The sequence below is a fragment of the Homo sapiens genome, chromosome 21, assembly GCF_000001405.40.
Source record: "Homo sapiens chromosome 21, GRCh38.p14 Primary Assembly".
Lineage (NCBI taxonomy): Eukaryota > Metazoa > Chordata > Mammalia > Primates > Hominidae > Homo > Homo sapiens.
Genome location: NC_000021.9, coordinates 28,085,235 through 28,108,542, shown reverse-complemented (window position 1 = coordinate 28,108,542; position 23,308 = coordinate 28,085,235). Strand labels below are relative to the sequence as shown.

The 23,308-nt window shown below is 34.9% G+C and overlaps 1 long non-coding RNA gene across 2 annotated transcripts in view; it reads right to left on the bottom strand.

Moving 5' to 3' along the window:
- LINC01697 (long intergenic non-protein coding RNA 1697) overlaps positions 1-23,308 on the bottom strand; it is an 89,196-nt gene that overhangs the window by 29,067 nt on the left and 36,821 nt on the right. The window contains exons 1-3 of one of the 2 annotated variants that reach the window (NR_126011.1): positions 18,022-18,140; positions 7,224-7,277; positions 5,279-5,993 (exon numbers count right to left, since the gene is read on the bottom strand). This is a non-coding gene — a long non-coding RNA (long intergenic non-protein coding RNA 1697). Of the gene's footprint in view, positions 1-5,278; positions 5,994-7,223; positions 7,278-18,021; positions 18,141-23,308 lie in introns of those variants that run through there. The other variant, NR_126010.1, reaches the window with a different exon arrangement.

The window sequence follows — 23,308 nt, the reverse complement described above, 5'->3', positions numbered from 1 at the left end:
TTTGGACTGTTATAACAAAATGCCATAGACTGGATGACCTATAAATAATAGAAATTTATTTGTCACAGCTCTGGAGGCTGGAAGTTCTAGATTAGAATGCCAGCATGGTTGAGTTTTGGTGAAGGCCTTCTTCTGGGTTGCAGATAGCCAGCTTGTTGCTATCTCCTGACAGAGTAGAAGGGAAGAACTCTGGTATCTTCAGCCCCATATAAAGGCACTAATTCCATTCATGACAGTTGCTACCTTTATAACCAAATCACTTCCCTAAACCCCATCAAATTTAGGAATTAGGTTTCAACATATACATTTGGGGGAGGACACAAACATTCTGACCATGGCAATATAAGACACTAATTGTAGATAATGTTCCAAGCTCTGTCTTCCTGCCTCCATTCTTATATAATTTAATATAAATAGATTTTTAAAACACTTAACTTATCCTTAAATCTGTCTGTGAGATGATATTACAGAGAAACAGGTTAGTATGTGTTTTGAAAGATTATTTAGAACCACATAATGTTAAATAGAGAAGCTATTGGTGAAAGTACAGACACTGTATTATACAAGCGGCAGAAAGTTTCTCATTACAAATGATCTTTACCTTTTGTCAATTATACCTTGTAGTAAATGTGTAAAGTAGGTCTTAATAAATAACCTCATCTAATATTATCAGGAATTATTCACCTTTCTATTTTTCTTTGTGGTCTATATCTCTCCCCCCCTCCCACCCTTTCTCTTCTGTATCATCTGTCTCTAGTGAAAGTACCAGGAAAAAGGGTAACCCAGCATAGCAGAAATATTTTAACCATACTTATCTTTCTTCAAGAGGAATACTATGAAAAAAAATGTGTTCTATCTCCACCTCAATGAGTGCTATAACTGTGGGACTGGGGATAGAACCCTGTCTTCCACCCTCTTCCTGGAGTAAGGAGGTAGCATCCCCCCACCATGGAGGTTGTGGGTGGAACTCACATCTACCCACCTTCTGCAGGAATGAGATGGCCTTCCTTCCCCGTAGAGACTATGACCCCTCTGACTTTCTCCCTTCTTCTGCAGTAACTGGGTTGTACCTCTCCCCAGTGGAGCTTATGTGCACAGCTCAGACTTCCATCTCCCTCTTCCATGGTATTCAGGCAGTCTCACCATCCCTGCAGAGATATGGGGCGTAAGCCTGTTCTCCACCCCATCCCAGTATCAGGAGGCACCGCTATCTACTGAAGCCTGTGGGTGTCACTCTGCCATTCATTTCTGACCAGTTTTAATGTGTAAGTGCCATTTCCCTATGGACATGTGCCTGGAACTCTGAATTCCACCATCCTCTGTGGCAGTGAAGTAATTTTCCTCTGTCTCCCCAGTCCATGATGAGAAGATTGTGGGGCAGAGTCCTGTCACCTGAGTCACATACAACTGTGACTGGGGGATACTGGACTCCAGGGGATTTAGAAACCAAATTGAAATTTGAACAATAGCTAACAAAAGTGAGCTAGGACATGTATTTTGAAACTAAACAGGTGGAATACCCACTTAAGTAAAAGATCGAAGTAATAACTTTAGTCTTACGTCATAATACATGTAGTGTCCAAATTATAGTCCAAAGTCACTTGACATACTAAGGACTAGGAGAATCTCAAATCAAGTAAGAAACGACAATCAATAGACTATAACACTAAGATGATACAAATGTTAAAATTATTGAGCAAGAATGTTAAACAAGGTACTGTAAAAATATTCCAAATAGCAATCTCAGCATATGGACAAAATCACAAAATGGAAATGACAGAGGAAAGGATCAGTAAGATTTAAGGTAGATTAGTAGAGATTACCCAATCTAAACAACGAGAGAAAACAGATAAGAAAAAAAAAAACTGAGCCTCAAAGACTTCTGGAGCAATAATGACATAGTTAATGTTTGTGTCACTGCAGTCCTAGAATGAGAGGAAAAAGGATATGGGGCTTAACAATTACTTGAGGAAATAATGACTGAAAACTTCCCAAATTTGGTGAAAAACTAATCTATAGACTCAGGAAACTGAGTGACTCCGAAATAGAATAAACGCAAACAACTCCAGGCTCAGACATATAGTCAAATCTATGAAAACTAAAAGAGTAATTGTATTAGTCACTGGTCTAATTTTCCAGAGATAATGCTAGAAAAAATACCATACAGAATTTAGTATGCTAGAATTTTAGTAGAAAAAACAGAAACCATGGACAGTTAGAGCGGCACACACAACACTTGGTAACTTAAAAAGATCTATGTGGAGTCTTATCTTGTTGGCTTATGTTTGACTGAATTGAACAAGACAACCAATGAACAAAAAAAAAAAATGTATTTTTAAAATCACTTTGGTATTACCACAATTGTTGGTATTTTTTTCTTATTTTCTGATGAGGAATATTACCTTTATTTTTAATATTTTGGTTTTACTTTTTCTTGTTAATTTTGTTTCTCCAAATGTTATAAATACTTCTTTAAAGTTGAAACCTCATGCAACACTCTGAATCCAATTGATGCACATATTTTAATGTTAGAGCTGTTTTCCTATATTTACACAAATAGGTAATTTTCTATAAAGTATAGATCACTTTTCAGGAATACATATTCCTTTTTCAAAAATACTTTAATTCACTGACAGCAAAGATCTACAGACACTAAAACTAATCATGCTTTCTGAAATAATTTTAAATCCTGGTATCAGAGAAACAAAAACCTTCAGATGTAATCAGTACTAATTTAGAAGTAAAAATAATTTATTTTGATAATAATTGTTATCAAAAATAACCATACTCTTTCACTCTTTATGAAAGGATTCGGGTTCTTATGGCCTATTTAAGGACTCTTTTTTAATAGAATATTTGTCTTCAGCGTAAGGAATCTCAGAGGTAACTTGAAATAGGTAACGAACTTCGTATTATCTGTTCTCTTTTGTAGACATCTGGAATGAAAATTTCAGCATATGCTTGCATGTTTGTGTGTATGAATGTCAGTATCCTGTTTTCATTTGGCAAATATAGCAGCCTAAAATACACCTGTGATTTTGATAAGTGTTTGAGAGGAAGCATTTCTAGTTGTAAAAACTAGACAATTTTCACCTAGCCAATATTGGTTCATTACCCATAATCTCATTTTTTTAGAAAAATATATTAATTTCAATTCAGCTGTCAATATTATATATTCTGATTACCTCTCCCATGATCAATATGAATATTTACAGATAATGTATATTAATATTATTATGTATTCAATTAGAAAAATAAGTACTATTACTCCTTTTCTTGACCACATTTTGTGTGAGAATATTTTCCATGTCTCATCTGCAACTGAAAGTGTGTTGTCTCTGATGGATAAAATTCTCACTACCATTTTGATGGAGGCCCTTTTTCTACTTAAGTAAGGAAGAGATGTTAAAGATTAATTACTCACAGCTGCCAATTTCAGGCAACTTTTGTTCCACCATCCACTTTTTTATGTTTATCATAACGTATATTCTCTCCATCCTTAAAGCCATCAACCTGTAACCTCCTAACATTCTCATTTTCTGAGTACTTGCTTCATAATTTTTCTCCACTCCAATCTTATTATGAACTCCATCATTTAAGTAGATGGTCCTTTTAGCACTCTGGCTCAGAGTCCCTCCTATGATGCCAAGGACTCTTCATTTTATCTGTTAATCACCGGCATAAACATGACCTTGATCAAAATCATCACATTTGTTTTCTCATTCTCTGCAATTTTGAATGCTGACATTTCCTTTCCTTGAACATGAGAAATTACAAGAAGAGAAGTTCTTTTTCACTTGTTTCGTCTCTCCCACTTCCATAACTCCAGCAAGCCTGTTTTTTTCTGTCTAAATCCTAACCTCTATTATTCTGTTATTCTCTAACCTGAAGCCTAATTCTGTGTTTATTTTTCTTCATTGCCAGCTAGGATGCCAGAGGCATCTGTGTCTTCTGCTGCCCATAGCAACCGAGGCACTGATACTCCGGCCACACCACTGTGACTGCACTGATATTTATTTATTATCTCTGCTGTCTGGTGTAATTACATCTGCTCTCCAAATAGAAGTTGTTGATTTAAAACATTTTCAAAAATATGCCGACTGCATCCACTTCAAGTTAGTGTTATTGTGGTCATTCCTCACTTGGTTTTCTTTTTTTTTTTTTTCCTCCCCTTGAATCATTATCACGTTTCTTTCAGCAGGTGTTCCAATGGTCTCTCAACTAACTGCCAATTTCCCTATTCCCAGATGAGCCAATATACTCCAACTTCAGGAATAGTGATTCATATAACAAGAATTATTGTACCTCCATAGATCCATATCTTAATTATATATTGAGAGACCTGCCATACGTCAGGTGCTGGAGATAGAAGGTTATTAAGCCACAGATCGTCTATTACAAGTTTCATTTCTGGAAGGAGAAATACATAAACAATAATTTTGATTTAGGATGTTCAGGATTACACCTGTGATTCTTCTTTATCTCCCAATACTTTTTTCTTTACAAATTTCTACTTTTTGCTTCCTACCTAGGAGGAATAAATGTCTCTCTTCTTTCCAATGCTGTCTTCTTATTGAATGGCATTGCCACAAAAATGCTCCACTATTTTAATCCCCTGCTAAGGTCTCTCATCCTCCACTGCATCTTTTCCTTCAGTCTGCAAACATTATTAAGCCTTAAAATGAAAATTGTCTTCCCTGGGTCTCTAGTTATTTCTTGACAATTTTTAAATAATTTTCTTTATTCAGCATAATTTGCTCATTTTACACTTAAAAATCAGCGTCTATCCTACCACTTACTGAAGCTTGGCTTGTGAATTACCAGATCAATTGTCTTTATTCATTCTTCATCTTCTTTGAATATTTTGCTTCATGAAATTATTTTTAGCTCTAATTTTTATTGCTCCTGTTAGGAAAAATCTACTCATCTTTCACATACGAGATTTAGTGCTTTGCTTTTTTTTTTTTTTTTTTTTTTTTGATGGAGTCTTGCTCTGTCGCCCAAGCTGGAGTGCAGTCGCGCGATCTCAGCTCACTGCAACCTCCGCCTCCCGGGTTTAAGCGATTCTTCTGCCTCAGCCTCCTGAGTAGCTGGGATTACAGGCGTGTAATTTTTGTATTTTTAGTAGAGACGGGGTTTCACCATGTTTGTCTGGCTGGTCTAGAACTCCTGACCTCCTGATCCGCCTGCCTCAGCCTCCCAAAGTGCTGGGATTACAGGCATGAGCCACTGCGCCTGGCCTTAGTGCTCTTCTTCTGTGAAAATCCTGACACCTCCTTCCTCTCAGAATTAATAGGTCTGATTTCACTTACTGTTTGTGCATACTGCTATCATAGTTAATTCACAATTATTTAGATTCTAGAAAAAAATCAATAGTATGAGCAAACAAATTGAGAAATAATTTTTTTGAGTGCAGTACATTGTTGGAATTTATATTTTAAGTTATAAGGTATAACAAGGTGAATCTGGGAAACAGAGGTGAATGGTAGGTTACTGCCTAATAGTGAGAGTCCTAGAAAGCCACACTAAGCCTTCTGGGATCTAATCTTACTTGGAATTCTCTATATTGAAGGTACCAGCCCCATTTCTCCTTTGGCTTTTCAGCAGAGTATTTTTGAAAGAAGCAGGAATTGACTGGACAGAGCTTTTGATCAAATGTTAAGCAGCTTCTGGGATATTTGGCATTTTTAGTAAGTTTACTATTTATTTCACCAGATTCTGATCAAATTTTCTAGTAACATTGAGCTGGATTTTCGAACATATTTATCTCTACCGTGTGTGCGCGTGTGTGGTTGTGTGTGTATCTTAGATAGCTGGAACCAATTTTAATAGCCTTCTGAACTTTACACATTTAAAACTTCCATTAAATGAAACTAAATTGACGAGAAAAGTTTGTTGTCAGGATTGATAAGGCCTCTCCTGAAGCTTCATCCTTAGGAAATCTGGGCTTCAGAGATTACTTCTCATTGGGCTCTTTCTCCAGGGGTAGATGTCTAAAAGAAGGAAGAAAATTTCTTTTCAGCATCCTTTATTGTAACACTTTTATAATGCTAACAGCAACACATAGAATATGCCTCGGGGAAATTTCAGGTAGATTGCTAATTATACACCAGCTTTATTGAATGAATGATAATCAACTATTAATTTATTTTACTTTTGCTTGATATATTTTAGAGCAGAGTTTCTTTAGAATAGATTGAAAGTAATCTTTCCATTCCCTATACCACAGATGTGGTTATTCACCTAACTCCGGAGAGAGATTATGGAATTATAATTTGTTCTCTTTATTGCATAACTACATATGCTGACACCAAAGTTACACCGTTTACTAAAATGATCTTTTAGGGTCTGGGGGAAGCTTTTATTTAATTTCATACAATCAGATGTTATAAAGATTTAAATCAGTCTTGACTACAACATATCTGGGCAACAATCTATCCTATATTCTGAATTGCTGAAGACTACTGGGAGGCAAAATGAAAGTTTGTCCTGGCCAAATCAGTAAAATAATGTTATGAAATACTTTTAGATTAAGTCAATCTAAAGCTATTAAGTTCAAATCATTGTCGTCATCATCATCATCGTCATCATCATCATCATCATTATCATTTTAGCAAATATCCTTTGGGAGTGGAAAGTAATGGGGTCACAAAAGTTTCCCCTAGGATACTTTGGGCTGTAGTATGAGAACCTGAAATAATATAGGTTTGCAGCTATTATAAAGTATGCTATAGATTCTACAACACAATACGTAGTAGCATTTTTTTTATACTGGTGACTGACAGTTTACTTGAGCTTAAGTCTTGATGTGTTCCATCCACAGTTTATATACAAGGATATAAGATTTTATCTCATAAATCAATAAAAACTGAAGCCCTTCTACTGCTAGAATTATTATTCTGCCTAATTTTATGAGCCTCAATTATCATTTAAAAATAATATTACATATTGTATTGAAATATGTTGTTTATTTAAATATATTATTTAAAATAATGTTTTATTTAAATATATTATTTAAAATAATGTTTTATTTAAATATATTATTTAAAATAATGTTTTATTTAAATATTAAAAATAATGTTTTATTTAAATATATTATTTAAAATAATGTATTGTTTAAATAATAATAAAATGCCATTTGATTTATTATGAATATTATATTAATATTTATAATATACATATTATATTTTATAATTTATTATATAAATAATATTAATATTCACCTTTAATCAATAGGTAAAGTTCCATAAGCATGTAATATTAATGAAAGAATATTTCTGCAAAAAAATGGAAAGTTATCAAATACATTTTTGAAGTTATCATAAGTCTAAATACCCACGTAAACATACATAGACACATTAAAAAGCACACACTGGCACAATCAAAAGACCCAGTCTGCAAACTTCTAATCAAAATAGTGCCAAAACAAGTTTAATAAAAATGTCTGAAGAGCTATTCACTATGGCTAAGTAAGAATCACACATTAATAGATTGTTTTCTTTCAGTTTGAGTATTCTTCTTACATATTCTTTTCTTTAGAAATTCTTACTTGACCTCATCGAGTGTAAGTTGGATGCTTCCCTAATATACTTACAAAGCAACCTGAACTATCATTCTATGCCCATTTGAATGCCTAAAATTAAAACAACTATCAATCCCAAGTGTTGGCTAGGAAGTGGAGCAGCTGGAACGTTCATACATTGCTTGTGGGAGTATAAAGTGGTACAATTACTTTTGGAAGATTAATCCATTTCTTGAAAGGTTAAACATATGCCTGCTCTACAGCCATGTAATTCCACGCAAGGACATGAACAAGATGCTGCCTAGAAGCTTTACACAACGTAGTAAAAGACAGTAAATAACCCTAATGTTTATCAGCAGGAGAGTTAATAAGCAGATTGTGGAATAATGCTTCCTATTGAAAAAGAATGAACTACCCATGCATGCGACTGCGTGGATGAATCTCATTAGCATTATGTGGACAGAGAGACGACATTCACAAGACAGTACATATAGTGTGATTCCATTCATAGGATATTTAAGAGTAGATCTCTGGTTTGCTGGTGCTGGGATGACAGAGTGGGGATTGTATACAAAGGCTTAATGTGTAGTGGGTATAAAAATCTATGCATTTGTCATAATGCATCCAACTATACACTTAAACAGTGTTCATTTTATTATTTTTGCTTTAAATTTTAGAAAATTAATTGCTACTATAACACCAATAATTCTAAAGGAAAACCTATAAGATCATTTCAATGGATGTCGAAAGTAAAAAAAAGATACTCATTTCTATTAAAAAGCAAAGCAGAACATAAGAAAAAAATGGTTTAAGTAGGACTAGAAAGTTAGTTTTTGAAATATGGTTAAGAAAAACTATATGAAATCAGTAGCCATTGGTAAATATAATTATGTGATGGTTATAAAATATAACTATTATTATAGTTAATTAAATTTATTAAATATATTAATAATATTAATATTTTAATATTTTACATTATGAAATTTAATTATGTTTAAGTATTGCAAACAAATAACTATTTCAGGACATTTTAATTAATATTAGAAAACTAAAGATAGCTAACTAAAAACAAATGAATTACCAAAAGGTTTCAGATAGGCATTAGGAGAATAAGAAGAAAGAGAGAAAATGCTGAAGTTTTCTTATAACTGATGACTTAGACTAAAATATCTGTACACAAATCAAATGCAAAATATAAGCAAATCTGTACAGCACACATAAAAGACCTGTACAAACATGATTATAAGAATTATGAATATATATATGTGTGTGTGTATATATATATAAAATTTGGAATATATTGAATTTTGCTTAAGCTAGTTAATGAAGGTCTAAATATTATTAAAGTGTCCTATTTTTTCCTAGATTAATTTACACTTATGGTAGGCAGCCAGCAAAAAAAAAAAAAAAAAAAAAAAAAACGACAGAGGATTTTAGTGTGACAGCTGCAAGGAACTGATTCTGCCAAGAACAGAAATGAACTTGGAAAAGAATCCTCACACCAGATAGCAACACAGCCTGCTGTCACGTTGACTTCAGCCTGAACAGTGAGCCCAACCACACTGTGCTGGACTTGGGACCTATGAGCTGCTAACGTTGTAGTAATTAATTACATAGCAATAGGAAACTCACATGACGTTTAAATATGACATTAAAGCCACTCATAGTCTTGAGGAGACTCTTAACTTTTAACATAATATGGTTATTCATCTGAAAGAATGATCCTTTTTTATTTTAAAGTTATAAAGTAGATGAAGAAAAGTTGGAATTAAAGAAGTGTACCCCCAGATATTTTAGACATAATTAAATGTGTCCTGTCATCGCAATGATTTATAGATGTATTGTGAAAGCCATTAGAATGTCCGGAGACAACTTCTGCTTTCCTAAATTTTTAATATATGATTTAAGAATCATCAAAACTCATGAGGCAGATATTTCTTATTAAACAAAATGTGTTTGAAAATTTACCTTGGAAACAAAATCAAATGAGGTCCAAACTACACATGAATAAGATCAATTACAGTTAGATTACATACTTAAAAAATTTAAACCACAATAATCTAAGATAAAATAACAAAATCAGCTTTGAATTTGCAATGACTTTCTACATATAAAACACTGTGAAAATCAAAACTTTCTTCATGGTAGAAACATAAATAAGGCCCGGACCAGTGGTTCACGCCTGTAATCCCAGCACTTTGGGAGGCCAAGGCGGATGGATCACCTGAGATCAGGAGTTTGAGACCAGCCTGACCAACATGGAGAAACCCAGTCTCTACTGAAAATACAAAAGTAGCTGGGTGTGGTGGCACATGCCTGTAATTCCTGCTACTCGGGAGGCTGAAGCAGGAGAATTGCTTGAACCCAGGAGGTGGAGGTTGCTGTGAGACGAGATTGGACCTTTGCACTCCAGCCTGAGCAACAAGAACGAAACTCCGTCACACACACACACAAAAATTAAATTAAAAAAATTAAATAAATAAAAAAGACAAAAATGGAAAATACTTGTAAGGAATTTATGTTTAATATAAAAGGAACTCTAACATGATTATTGAGTTAAAATAAGAAACAATTTGGTAGACATAAATTGGTTCTCAGGACAGGAGCCATTGAAATGGATAAAAGCATGTTAGTAATAAAATAAACTAAGTGAAAATACTAGTTTACATTTATTCAACTGACAAGCATATTTTTAAAACAATAATGCTGAGATAGACTCAGCATATGCAATATAATTCAAGAGTGTTAAACCATTCATATCCTTTGACAAAGTAATCCAACTCTTAGAAAACCTTTTATAAGAAAATAATCAGAAATTTTAAAATTATTTACCCACATATTATTTATACTAATAAGACACTGGAAATAATCGAAATATTTCACAGGAGAGAAACTGGGCTAATAAGTTATGGTATAACTAAATGGCCAAATATTCTGTTGGCCTTAAGGTGTTTTATGAAAAAAATATTTACATGGGGAAAATGCCCATGGTTTCTTAAGTAACAAAGTTAGATGTCAAAATAGGTAACTATTAGTTAACTATATACAAACAAAAATAATTGGAAGGAAATGCCTCCATATGGGAATGATTATTTCAGACTTTGAAGACTATAGGAATTATTATTTTTTTCTTTAGAATTTTCTTTCTTTCTTTCCTAGCATTCCTATAGAACACTTTTATTAACTTTTAAGTCATAAACAGATCTATGTGAATTGTTACTTTAAGTGGTGCCTGTACTCTTGCTATTGAAAGTGTGACCTCGTGCATCAGCACTCGCATCGCCTAGGAGCCTGCTAGAAACTCAAACCCTATGCAGGGTAGCGGGGAGAAAATGCTATTTAAAAATCTGATGGTTCTCAGGGATCATGTTGAAATTTTACTATTGTCAAGGAGGCAATTTTTCATTCCCTGCTTCCTAACGTTTCACAGTGTTCATTCATATCTACCATGTGTTTTCCATTAATATTGTTCTGTCATAATTATTCCCATTTCTAAGCAGAGCAAAGTCCTTTTTAAAAAATTTTTTTTTTACTCTGAGTTCCAGGATACATGTGCAGAATGTGCAGGTTTGTTACGTAGGTATACATGTGCCATGGGAGTTTGCTGCATCTATCAACCAGTCATCAAGGTTTTAAACCCCACATGCATTAGGTATTTCTCCTAATGCTATCCCTGTCCTTGCCGCCCACCCCCTGACAGGCCCTGGTGTGTGTTGTTCGCCTCCTTGTGTCCATGTGTTCTCATTGTTCAACTCCCACTTATGAGTGAGAACATTCAGTGTTTGGTTTTCTGTTCCTGTGTTGGTTTGCTGAGAATGGTGGTTTCCAGCTTCATCCATGTCCCGGCAAAGGACATGAACTCACTCTTTTTTATGGCTGCATAGTATTCTGTGGTGTATATGTGCCACATTTTCTTTATCTAGTCTATCATTGATGGGCATTAGGGTTGGTTCCAAGTCTTTGCTATTGTAAATAGTGCTGCGATAAACATACACGTGCATGTGTCTTTATAGAAGAATGATTTATAATCCTTTGGGTATATACCCAGTAATGGGATTGCTGGGTCAAATGGTATTTCTAGTTCTAGATCCTTCAGGAATCACCACACTGTCTTCTACAATGGTTGAATTAATTTACACTGTCACCAACAGTGTAAAAGCATTCTTATTTCTTTTTTAAAGAAAATCATATTGGTAGTTGGGTCATGGCTTTTAGATGAGAGTGGTCTTTGCACAAGTCTCCTATTTTGTTTAAAATAATAATGGTGATGACATTATTAGTAGGCTTAATATTTTACAAATAATTTTACTTTGAATGGAAACAGAATATTTTTCTTGTAGGCCCGTATACAGTTAATTTAGCAAAGAATTAAATAAAAAGTCACATTTAAAAAAATTAATTTTCTTAATTAAAAATCCTTATAATTGGCTAGGCGTGGTTGCTCATGCCTGTAATCCCAGCACTTTGGGAGGCTAAGGAGGGCAGATCACGAGGTCAGGAGATTGAGACTATTCTGGCTTACATGATGAAACCCCGTCTCTACTAAAAATACAAAAAAATTAGCCGGGCATGGTGGCGGGTGCCTGTAGTCCCAGCTACTTGGGAGGCTGAGGCAGGAGAATTTCTTGAACCAGGGAGGCGGGGCTTGCAGTGAGCCAAGATCGCGCCACTGCACTCCAGCCTGGATGACAGAGCGAGGCCCCGTCTCAAAAAACAGAAACAAACCAACAAACAAAAAATGCCTTATAATTAAAAAAAACTCAAAGGGTTCTGTTAATTTATCATTACTTGAGAATCCATAATTTTAATATGTGTGTTAAAATGTATGATTTAAATTCCCCACGGACACACTGCATCCTTGGCTTTTACAGAGATGTTAAAAATGAATTAATCTTATGATATTCACCATAGTGTTATTCAAGCCAGCATAAACAAAACATCCCAAGAAAAATATCTTCCTGCTAGAAAAAGAGGTCTCTGTTTCCTTTTATCAAAAAATTTGAGCCTTGTTGAATATAATACATGTTGTATATTGAAATGAACTTTATTGTATAGTTTTGTTCATCTTGGACATCTTGTACACGTAGTTTTTTCATTCATACTCCTTTTAACTTTTTCGTCTAATCTATGCAGATTCCTCCTATGTAAAATGGAAGGAACAGTGATTAACATGGTTTAAGTTGTGAGAATTTAATAATAAAACACACATTCCTCAAGAGTTCAACTCACTGTCAGATACACAGTGATGTTCTGTGAACAGCAGCTACTTTTATTATAAATTTCTTCTTTTCAAAATATTCTGAAATATAAGCAAACGTGTAGTTTTGGAGGTGGATATAAACACAAATATCACTATTTTTATAAAAGTTGTTTTAGAAACCCTTCAAAGAATCTCCTAAATACTGTGATGCATTATAAAATAGTTATGATATTTTGAGGTTTAAAATACTTATTAAAAGAGGCATATTCATATCTAGACTATTAATCTTAAAACAAATTATCTACAAGTTAAAAATAAACCACAAATTGAATAGTAAAAATGTGTGAATTGGGGAGAAATAATAAATACACACATTTTGATTCTGGTTATAAGCTGGTAAGTAATTAGATCTGGGTTTTAGACCTGATTCATTAGCCATAAATTTTAGTATCTTTAAGGCTGAAGTTCCTCATCTGTATTGTGATAAAATGATACTAGTTTTTTGCTAAAGTTTTCCTGACTCAAAAATTTCAAAAATTAATTAATACCCCTCTAATCTGAATTTAATTTCTAAAGTTAAGAATGAGGATTTTTATTTCTGTTGTATCATTCTAAACATATATTGAAAGTTTTAAAGTACATTTGTATTCTAAAAGTCTATTTACTGAAGAAGATTTTGGAAGAATATAGCTATCTGTAATCAACTATTCTAAGTACATTCAATTTTCCAAATTTTGATCATTTTCCTCATAGGGCTACAGCTCATCTCTGCTCTTAGACCTGGTCTCTTATTCAACTAGTTTGTCAGAAAGCTGGAAATTTTGAAATATTATAGCTCTAGTTGAGAGATTTAGTCAAAAGTACAGAAACTCTTCAATAGAGAGTTACATTAATGTCACACAGGAAGTTAGATTAGGTTCATAACCAAAAGCCTGGTTCCCCTCACTCCCCCACCCCCATCTACCATCTATCTGTCTGTCTGTCTGTCTGTCTATCTATCTATCTATCTATCTATCTTTTATCATTTATCATCTATATGACTTAATAGAGTGTCTAATCTGCTGCACAGAAAGCCAGCCACTGCATTCTAAAGAGGAGAATTATGGTCATGGCCATAGCATGTGCATCTGTCTCTAGAAATGATAATATAGAGATTGATATTATGGCAATGAGACCAAAGCTGGCTGTCAGGAGTATTTGTTGGAAATTGGGATAATCGTGAATGTAACTGCTATAATAATATTTTACTTTTGACTTAAATGAAAATTATCATATTGAATTGCTTCGTGAATGAATGTGTTTAATACCAGCTGTAGACCATGGAATACATACTAGCAGGATGGCAATTCTGTGTGGAGCAGATGGAGATTTTGGGTGGTCTTCAAAGTGAAGCCCAGTATATGACCCATTGCAGCAAGGTTATTTGAGGGGGTTCATAAAAGCATGGATCAGTACTGCATGGCTTGTATGACACTGAAAAATCCTCAATATTTTTTGTAGAGATACCTAATATAACTATTATCATTTGTCACACAAAAATCCTGGTTACAAGATCAGTTAATGGATTCCTTCAAAAATATTTTAAATTATGAATTTAGTCTAATCACATTTCAAAACTTGGACTAAAATCAACTTAAATAAATATGAAAATTTAATTTCCAAATTAGGGGTTAGACGTTATATGTCACATTCATTCTTAATTCTCTAGGAAAAGGCAGTGAAATTGATGTAACACTTCTAAAATAGGTTTGTTAAACATCCCCTCTTATTAATACAATTTTCATAAGATTATATAAGCAGAAATAAACATCATCATAGACAATTTTTTAATAAGTATGAACTCATACCATAATTTCTTAAAGAATGGCAGACTAAAGATGTTTCATCATTATCAGTTTTGTGTATAGATGCCATTTGTGAAAATGTCTTAAAACCATGAAAAAGAATGCCTTACACACCAGGCACATTGGATTCTTTGATTAAATGCTCCTTTTAATTAGCATTTTAAGAAAACTTTCTTGATAAGAAGATCAGAAAGCTCTTCAAGTGCAGTTACAAAGTTTTTTCAGTTTTATTTCCAACATATCTACATTGCATAGAAATATAGCTAGTATTTTGCAGATATAACTCTAGTTTTAACAATGCTGTGTGCTGGAAATTATACTATTATTGAGAAATACAACTGGTTCTTATGATCCCAAATTATTAATATTTGCTCTTTTCACCAAACCATAGGATGTACCCTCAGGAGTCTCTCATATTAATGCAATTAATTGAGAAAACAATGACAACAACAGTAACAATCCATTTAATCAATGGTAATTTCCAATTTGATATCTATCCATAATTAATTTTCTTTTTTCTTTTCTTCTCTTTTTATTTTTTATAGAAGGGGGTCTCCCTGTGTTGCCCAGGCTGGTCTCAAACTCCTGGGCTCAAGTGATTTGCCCACCTCACCTTCCCAAAGTGCTGGGATTACAGGTGTGAGCCACTGAACCCAGCCCATAATCAATTTTCAAAGGAGACTCAGGTTTCAGTCTGACTGTGAGCATATTTACTGCTAGTAGCATCTTTCCTCAATTTACCTGCTGTTCATAAAGTTGTAAAGTTATCTTTTCACATATAAAATAAATCATATTATTATGTGTTTCTATGTAATAACTGTCAAATATTAGCTGGAACATAAATTAAACAAGTGTTTTTGAATACTTTATACTATGACTGGCATAAGGATAACCCATTGGCTTTTGGCTATTTTATATTCTTCTCAATACGTATTCTGTCTTTTAGAATTCTGCAGCTTGTTCAAAATGTCCTGAACTGCAGGATTTAGAGAGCCAATAATCAAGATCTTAGCATTTTTAAATAGATCAAACTTTTAGAAATAACTTAATGCTGGCTTTGCAGAAAAATATTTGAAATGCTATAAACTATACTCCTAAAAATCTTAACCCAACACAAGATCAATAGTATTTGAACATCATAACGTCAATTTATATTTTCTGCAAAGGAATACACATTTTACAAAATATGCTTCAAATATCTGTTAATACATTTCACTGCCAGAATTTTTATTCTGTAGAATACTTTTCATTGCATATTTTACTTCTTAAAAATATTATGCACGATGTATACAAGTAGAATAAAGTAAGCGTTCAGGACCAAAAGTCATTTTATCATTACCAACTAATCTAGAATGTCTGATTCGCGATGCCAAAAATGTTATGCCCACAGTTGCTACTAGACTAAGCAGAATTTAAGAAAAACTAATTAGCTACAGAATGAATCTATGAAACGTTAAGTCAAGTTATCAAAAATCTCTCATTCTTCATGCATTTGTACTGCTTATTTTATATGCCATTAGTGTCAAGAAATGTAGTCCGTATGAATTACTTTTATACAGTAACTTTAGTAAGGGCTTTAAACAATTTAGATATTTTATATGAAACAGACCATTTAAGAAAACTCTCACTTAACAAAGTGAGTCTTAATATAAAGAACAGTATCAGATAGTTTGTCTTAAGCAAAAATAGAGCAATTTACCAGTTGAACCAAACTTATCATTTCACTCAGCTCATAGTAAATATTTTAGTAAAGCTTAAACTAAAAACATTTGAAAGGACATATGCACAAAAAAGTAATGATCATTAACAATGGAATCATTCATATTGAAGGCATTTTTTAATTTTTTCTCTTAAATTTGATATAGACCTAAACTACTAACTAGAGATTTTTGTAATAGGTATGGATTTAATGTGTTTAGAAACAATATAACCAAGTAAAGTTTTAATTTATTTATTCATAAATTAGTAGGATTGAAAGGATATGAAAAACTATTCATACTGAACTGTTTATGATAATAGGAGTGGCGTGTGAAGGCAGAGGAATTGTTGGTTTCTATCTTGGTATTTATAATTGCTATTTTAAATAGGGATATTATGTTTATATGTTATATAATAATTTAAGCATATGGTATTTAAAAACAATGAACATTAAATACACAAATTACATTTTTCATTGTCCCCCTATTTATTAACCTGGGACAGAGTGTGATGATAAGAAAAGGAAGGATCTGGGCAGCTGTCATAGATGTCCCAGGCCACTCCTTGCTTTTCTGGAAGTGGCTTGTGTTTACTTGTACCCTTGTACTTATCAGTGAAGTTTGACATGGGATAACAGCACTAATCCATGTGAGTCTGCCTTGACAATTTGACCTTTTTATGTTCACAAAAATAACAGGTAATTCTCCAAAGAGTAAATTTAAATTAGCACAGGGAGAAAAATCAGTTCGCTAATGAGAAGAGAAAAATCCAATAAGCACACGTGATAAACCATTTCCCTCAAAATTTAAAAAGGTAACTGTACCAGGTGAAGATACAGATGTAGAAAAGAAAAAAGAAATAAATTCCCATATCTGATGGGAATATAAATCAGTATCAACATAAGAGAAAGCAGTTTGGCAACACAAATCTAGGGAAAAATCCACTAACCCAAAAAGTAAAAAATTACATGTGTATGTGTGTGTAGGTATGTAGCCTAGTGAATCCACTGCACTTTTATATAAAGACTTGTATATAAAGCAAATATTTTCACTGTAGCACTTTTTGCTATGAGGCAAAATTAGAAATGACCATCAGTCAAAAATTAGATAGACAAATTTTGGCGTTTTCATACAATAGAATACTGGAATTTAGCAGTTGTTTAACCATACCTGAGCAAAGCTTTATGAATCAACATGAATCAATTATTACAAATAAAGATGAAAAACAAGAAGTTTCTAAAAATACGTATATATTTTGTCAGTGCAATACAAGATAGTGTTTTTGTATTAGATATTTATGTAGTGTGTGAAATAACAAAAATGGTAGTACTGAACACCAAGTTTAGAAAATTAGTTAACTCTGGGATATGAGGAAGAGAAATAAAATTGGTGAAAATAAATTTAAATACATAGGATCTTCAAAACTTCATGGAAAATATGTATTATCAAAAATACTATGTGTGCTGAGATTCAGGGGATCACGATGGACAGGAGGCAGGACTAGATTGAAGCTCCAGGCAGAGCAACCTACGGAGGCTTGCACTGTGAATTTTAGCTCCAGATCAACTTCAAGAATAAAGTAGCAATCCCAAGAAGACCCACAGCCCCTCTGAAGGAAGCGGACTGCTCCTGCAGGACCCGGGAGACACCCCAAATACTATGAGTGTCCCAACTGTGCAAGTGGGAAAGGGAGTGTCCCGAACACACACCCCCACTGGAGAAGCTGAAGGTGTTTGTGGGAGAAGTTTCCGACTTTACCTGGAGCTGAGTCAAGTCAGAGAGCTGAGCGAAATACAGGGGTACAGGAAGCAGCAGAAAGGCCCTCGGAGCTCACTGGGTCCCCAAGCAGCCCATTCCTGCCTGGCAACACAAAGATCCATCCGGAGGGCGGCCAGAGGAGCAGGGGGTAAAACTCTACAGGGAGAAGGAATTCTCTAGCTGAACTTTGTAACCATTTGAACAGGGCAAGAAGCCTCCTGGCCAGAACTCAGGGGAGGGCGCGAATCTGGCCTGCAGACTTCACAGGCAGGGGGAGGAACTAAAGCCCTTTTCTCTGGGGGCTGGGAGATGGATAGCATTCAGCAAATTTTCAAGCCATTCTCACCCTCCGCCTAAAAACTGACTCTGTTACGGGGGCATAGTGAGAGTGAGACCAGCCCTTCAGTTTGCGTGGGAGCTGGGTGAGGCCAGTGACTGTCAGCTTTCTCCGACTTCCCTGACAACCTGCATGACTCAGCAGAGGCAGCCTTAATCCTCCTGGTACATAACTCCAGTGACCTGGGAATGTCACCCCCATCCCCAACAACAGCTTCAGCAGGACCCACCCAAAAAGAGTCTGAGCTCAGACACGCCTAGCCCCACCTCCACCTGATGGTCCTTCCCTATCCACCCTGGTAGCAGAAGACAAAGGGCATATAATCTCGGAGATCTAGGCCCACCCACTGCCAGTTCCTCTCCACACCACTACAGCTGATGCTCTCTGGAAAGCACCACCTCCTGGCAGGAACCCAACCAGCACAAAAATAGAGCATTAAACCACCAAACTAAGGACCCTTATGAAGTCCATTGCACCCTCCACCACCTCCACCAGAAGAGGCGCTGGTATCCACAGCTGAGACCCATTGAGTTCATATCATAGAACTCTGTGCAGACAACCCCCAGTACCAGCCCAGAGCCAGGGAGACTTGCTGGGTGGTGGGGCCCAGAAGAGAGACAGCAATCACTGCAGTTCAGCTCACAGGAAGCCACATCCATAGAAAAAGGGGGAGAGTACTACACCAAGGGAACACCCAGGGGGACAAAAGAATCTGAACAACAGCCTTCAGCCCTAGACCTTCCCTCTGACAGAGCCTACCCAAATGAGAAGAAACCAGAAAACCAACCCTGGTAATATGACAAAACAAGGATCTTCAACACCCCCCCAAAATCATACTAGTTCACCAGCAATGGATCCAAACCAAGAAGAAACCCTTGATTTACCTGAAAAAGAATTCAGGACATTAGTTATTAAGCTAATCAGGGAGGGACCAGAGAAAGATGAAGCCCAATGCAAGGAAATCCAAAAAATGATACAAGAAGTAAAGGGAGAAATATTCATGGAAATAGATAGCTTAAAGAAAAAAAAAAAACATAAAAAATTCAGGAAACTTTGGACACACCTTTAGAAATGCAAAATGCTCTGGAAAGTCTCAGCAATAGAATTGAACAAGTAGAAGAAAGAAGTTCAGAATTCGAAGGCAAGGTCTTTGAATTAACCAAATCCAACAAAGACAATAAAGAATAAGAAAATATGAACAAAGCTTCTAAGAAGTCTGGGATTATGTTAAATGAGCAAACCTAAGAATAATTAATGTACCTGAGGAAGAAGAGAATTCTAAAAACTTGGAAAACATGTTTGGGGGAATAATCGAGGAAAACTTCCCTGGCCTTGCAAGAGACGTAGACAGCCAAATACAAGAATCACAAAGAACACCTAGGAAATTCATCACAAAAAGATCTTCACTTAGGCACATTGTCGTCAGGTTATCCAAACTTAAGATAAAGGAAAGAAGCTTAAGAGTTGTGAGACAGAAGCATCAGGTAACCTATCAAGGAAAACTTATCAGATTAACAGCAGATTTCTCAGCAGAAACCCTACAAGCTAGAAGGGATTGGGACCCTATCTTCAGTTTCCTCAAATAAAATAATTACTAGCCAAGAATTTTGTATCCAGTGAAACTAAACATCATATGTGAAGGCAAGATACAGTTGTTTTCAGACAAACAAATGCTGAGAGAATTTGCCATTATCAAACCACCACTACAAGAACTGCTAAAAGGAACTCTAAATATTGAAACAAATACTGGAAACACATCAAAACAGATGCTCTTTAAAGCATAAATCACACAGGACACATACAACAAAAATACAAGTTAGAAAGTGAAAACAAAAAGTAAAATCAAAGTACACAGGCAACAAAGAGCATGACAAAAGCAATGGTACTTCACATTTCAATACTAACATTGAATGTAAATGCCCTAAATGCTCCACTTAAAAGATAAAGAATTGCAGAATGGGTAAGACCTTACCAACTAATTATCTGCTGTTTTCAGGAGACTCGCCTAACACATAAGGACTCACATAAAGTAAAGGGATGAATAAGGATATTTCATGTGAATGGACACCAAAAGCCAGCAGGGTAGCTACTCTTGCATCAGACAAGACAAACTTTAAAGCAACAGTGGTTAAAAGAGACAAAGAGGGGCAGGATATAATGGTAAAAGGCCTTGTCCAACAGAAAAATATCATAATTCTAAACATATATGCACCTAACTCTGGAGCTCCAAAATTTATAAAAACAATTACTAATAGACCCAAGAAATGAGATAGACAGCAGCACAGTAATAGTGGGGGATGTCAATACTCCACTGACAGCACTAGACAGGTCATCAAGACAGAAAGTCAACAAAGAAACAATGGATTTAAACTATACCTTGGAACAAATGGACTTAACAGATATATACACAACGTTTCATCCAACAACCACAGAACACACATTCTATCCAACAGTGCATGGAACTTTCTCCAAGACTGACCATATGATAGGCCATAAAAATAAGCCTCAATAAATTTAAGACAATTGAAATTATATCAAGCACTCTCTCAGACCACAGTATAATAAAACTGGAAATCAGCTCCAAAATGAATCTTCAAAAAAGAAAACTGCAGACCAATATCCTTGGTGAACATAGTTGCTAAAATCCTTAACAAAATACTGGCCGACTGAATCCAACAACATATCAAAAAGAGAATACACCATGATCAAGTGCGTTTTATACCGGGGTGCAGGGATGGTTTAACATACAGGAGTCAATAAATATGATACACTACATAAACAGAATTTAAAACAAGAATCACGTGATCATCTCAATAGATGCAGTAAAAGCATTTGACAAAATCCAACATCCCTTTATGATTAAAACTCTCAGCAAAATCCGCATACAAAGAACATACCTTAATGTAATAAAATCCACCTATGACAAACCCACAGCCAACATAATACTGAATGGGGAAAAGCTGAAAGCATTCCCTCTGAGAACAGGAACAAGACAAGGATGCCCACTCTCACCACTCCTCTTCAACATAGTACTCAAAGTCCTAGCCAGAGCAATCAGACAAGAGAAAGAAATAAAGGGTATCCAAATCAGTAAAGAGGAAGTGAAACTGTCACCTGTTTGCTGACGATGTCATCATTTACCAGAAACCTCCTAGAACTGATAAAAAAAAAATCCAGCAAAGTCCTGGATACAAGATTAATGTATACAGATCAGTAGCTCTCCTATAACACTAGCAGTGACCAAGCAGAGAATAAAATCAAGAACTCAACCCTTTTTACAACAAAAGCTACAACAAAACAAAAGAAAACAAAAACATAAAATACTTGGGAATATACCCAACAAAGAAGTTAAAAAACCTCTACAAGGAAAACTACAAAACACTGCTGAAAGAAATAGATGACATGAACAAATGGAAACACATCTTATGCTCATGGATGGGTAGAATCAATATTGTGAAAATGACCATACTGCCAAAAGCAATCTACAAATTCAATGCAATCCCCATCAGAATACCACTATCATACTTCAGAGAATTAGAAAAAAAAATTCCAAAATTCATATAGAACCAAAAAAGAGCCCCCATAGTCAAAGCAAGACTAAGCCAAAAGAACAAATCTGGATGCATCACACTACCTAATTTCATACTATACTATAAGGCCATAGTCATCAAAATAGCATGGTACTGGTATAAAAACAGGCGTATAGACCAATGGAACAGAATAGAGAACCCAGAAATAAACCCAAATACTTACAGCCAAGATCTACGACAAAGCAAACAAAAACATAAAGTGGGGAAAGACACCCTTTTCAACAAACGGTGCGGGGATAATTGGCAAGCTACATGTAGGATAATAAAACTGTATCCTCATCTCTCACCTTATACAAAAATCAACTCATGATGGATTAAGGACTTAAATCTAAGACCTGAAACTAAAAAAAATTTCTAGAAGATAACATTGGAAAAACCCTTCTAACATCAGCTTAGGCAAGGATTTCATGACCAAGAACCCAAAAGCAAATGCAATAAAAATAAAAATAAATAGCTGGGACCTAATTAAACTAAAGAGCTTTTGCACAGCAAAAGGAACAGTCAGCAGAGTAAACAGACAACCCACAGAGTGGGAGAAAATCTTCACAATCTATACATCTGACAAAAGACTAATGCCCAGAATCTACAACGAACTCAAATCAGTAAGAAAAAAACAAAGAATCCCATCAAAAACTGGGCTAAGGACATGAATAGATGATTCTCAAAAGAAGATATACAAATGGCCAACAAGCATGAAAAAAATGCTCAACATCAGTAGTGATTAGGGAAATGCAAGTCCAAACCACAATGAGATACCACCTCACTCTGGCAAGAATGGCCATAATCAAAAACTCAAAAAACAGAAGATTTTGGCATGGATGCGGTGAACAGGGAACACTTCTACACTGCTGGTGGGAATGTAAACTAGTATAGCCACTGTGGAAAACAGTTGGAGATTCCTTAAAGAAGTAAAAGTAGAACTACCATTTAATCCAGCAATCCTACTACTGGGTATCTACTCAGAGGAAAAATAAGTCATTATTCGAAAAAGATACTTGCACATACATGTTTATAGCAGCACAATTCACAATTGCAAAATTGTGGAACCAAACCAAATACCCATCAATCAGTGAGTGGATAAAGAAATGGTGATATATATCACAGCCATAAAAAGGAATGAATTAACAACATTTGCAGTGACCTGGATGAGATTGGAGACTATTATTCTAAGTGATATAATGCAGAAATGGAAAACCAAACATCATATGTTCTCACTGATATGTCGGAGCTAAGCTATGAGGATGTGAAGGCATAAGAATAATACAATGGGCTTTGGAGATTTTTGGGGAAGAGTGGGAGGGGACAAGGGATAAAAGACTACAAATATGGTGCAATGTATATATGGGTGATGGGTGCACCA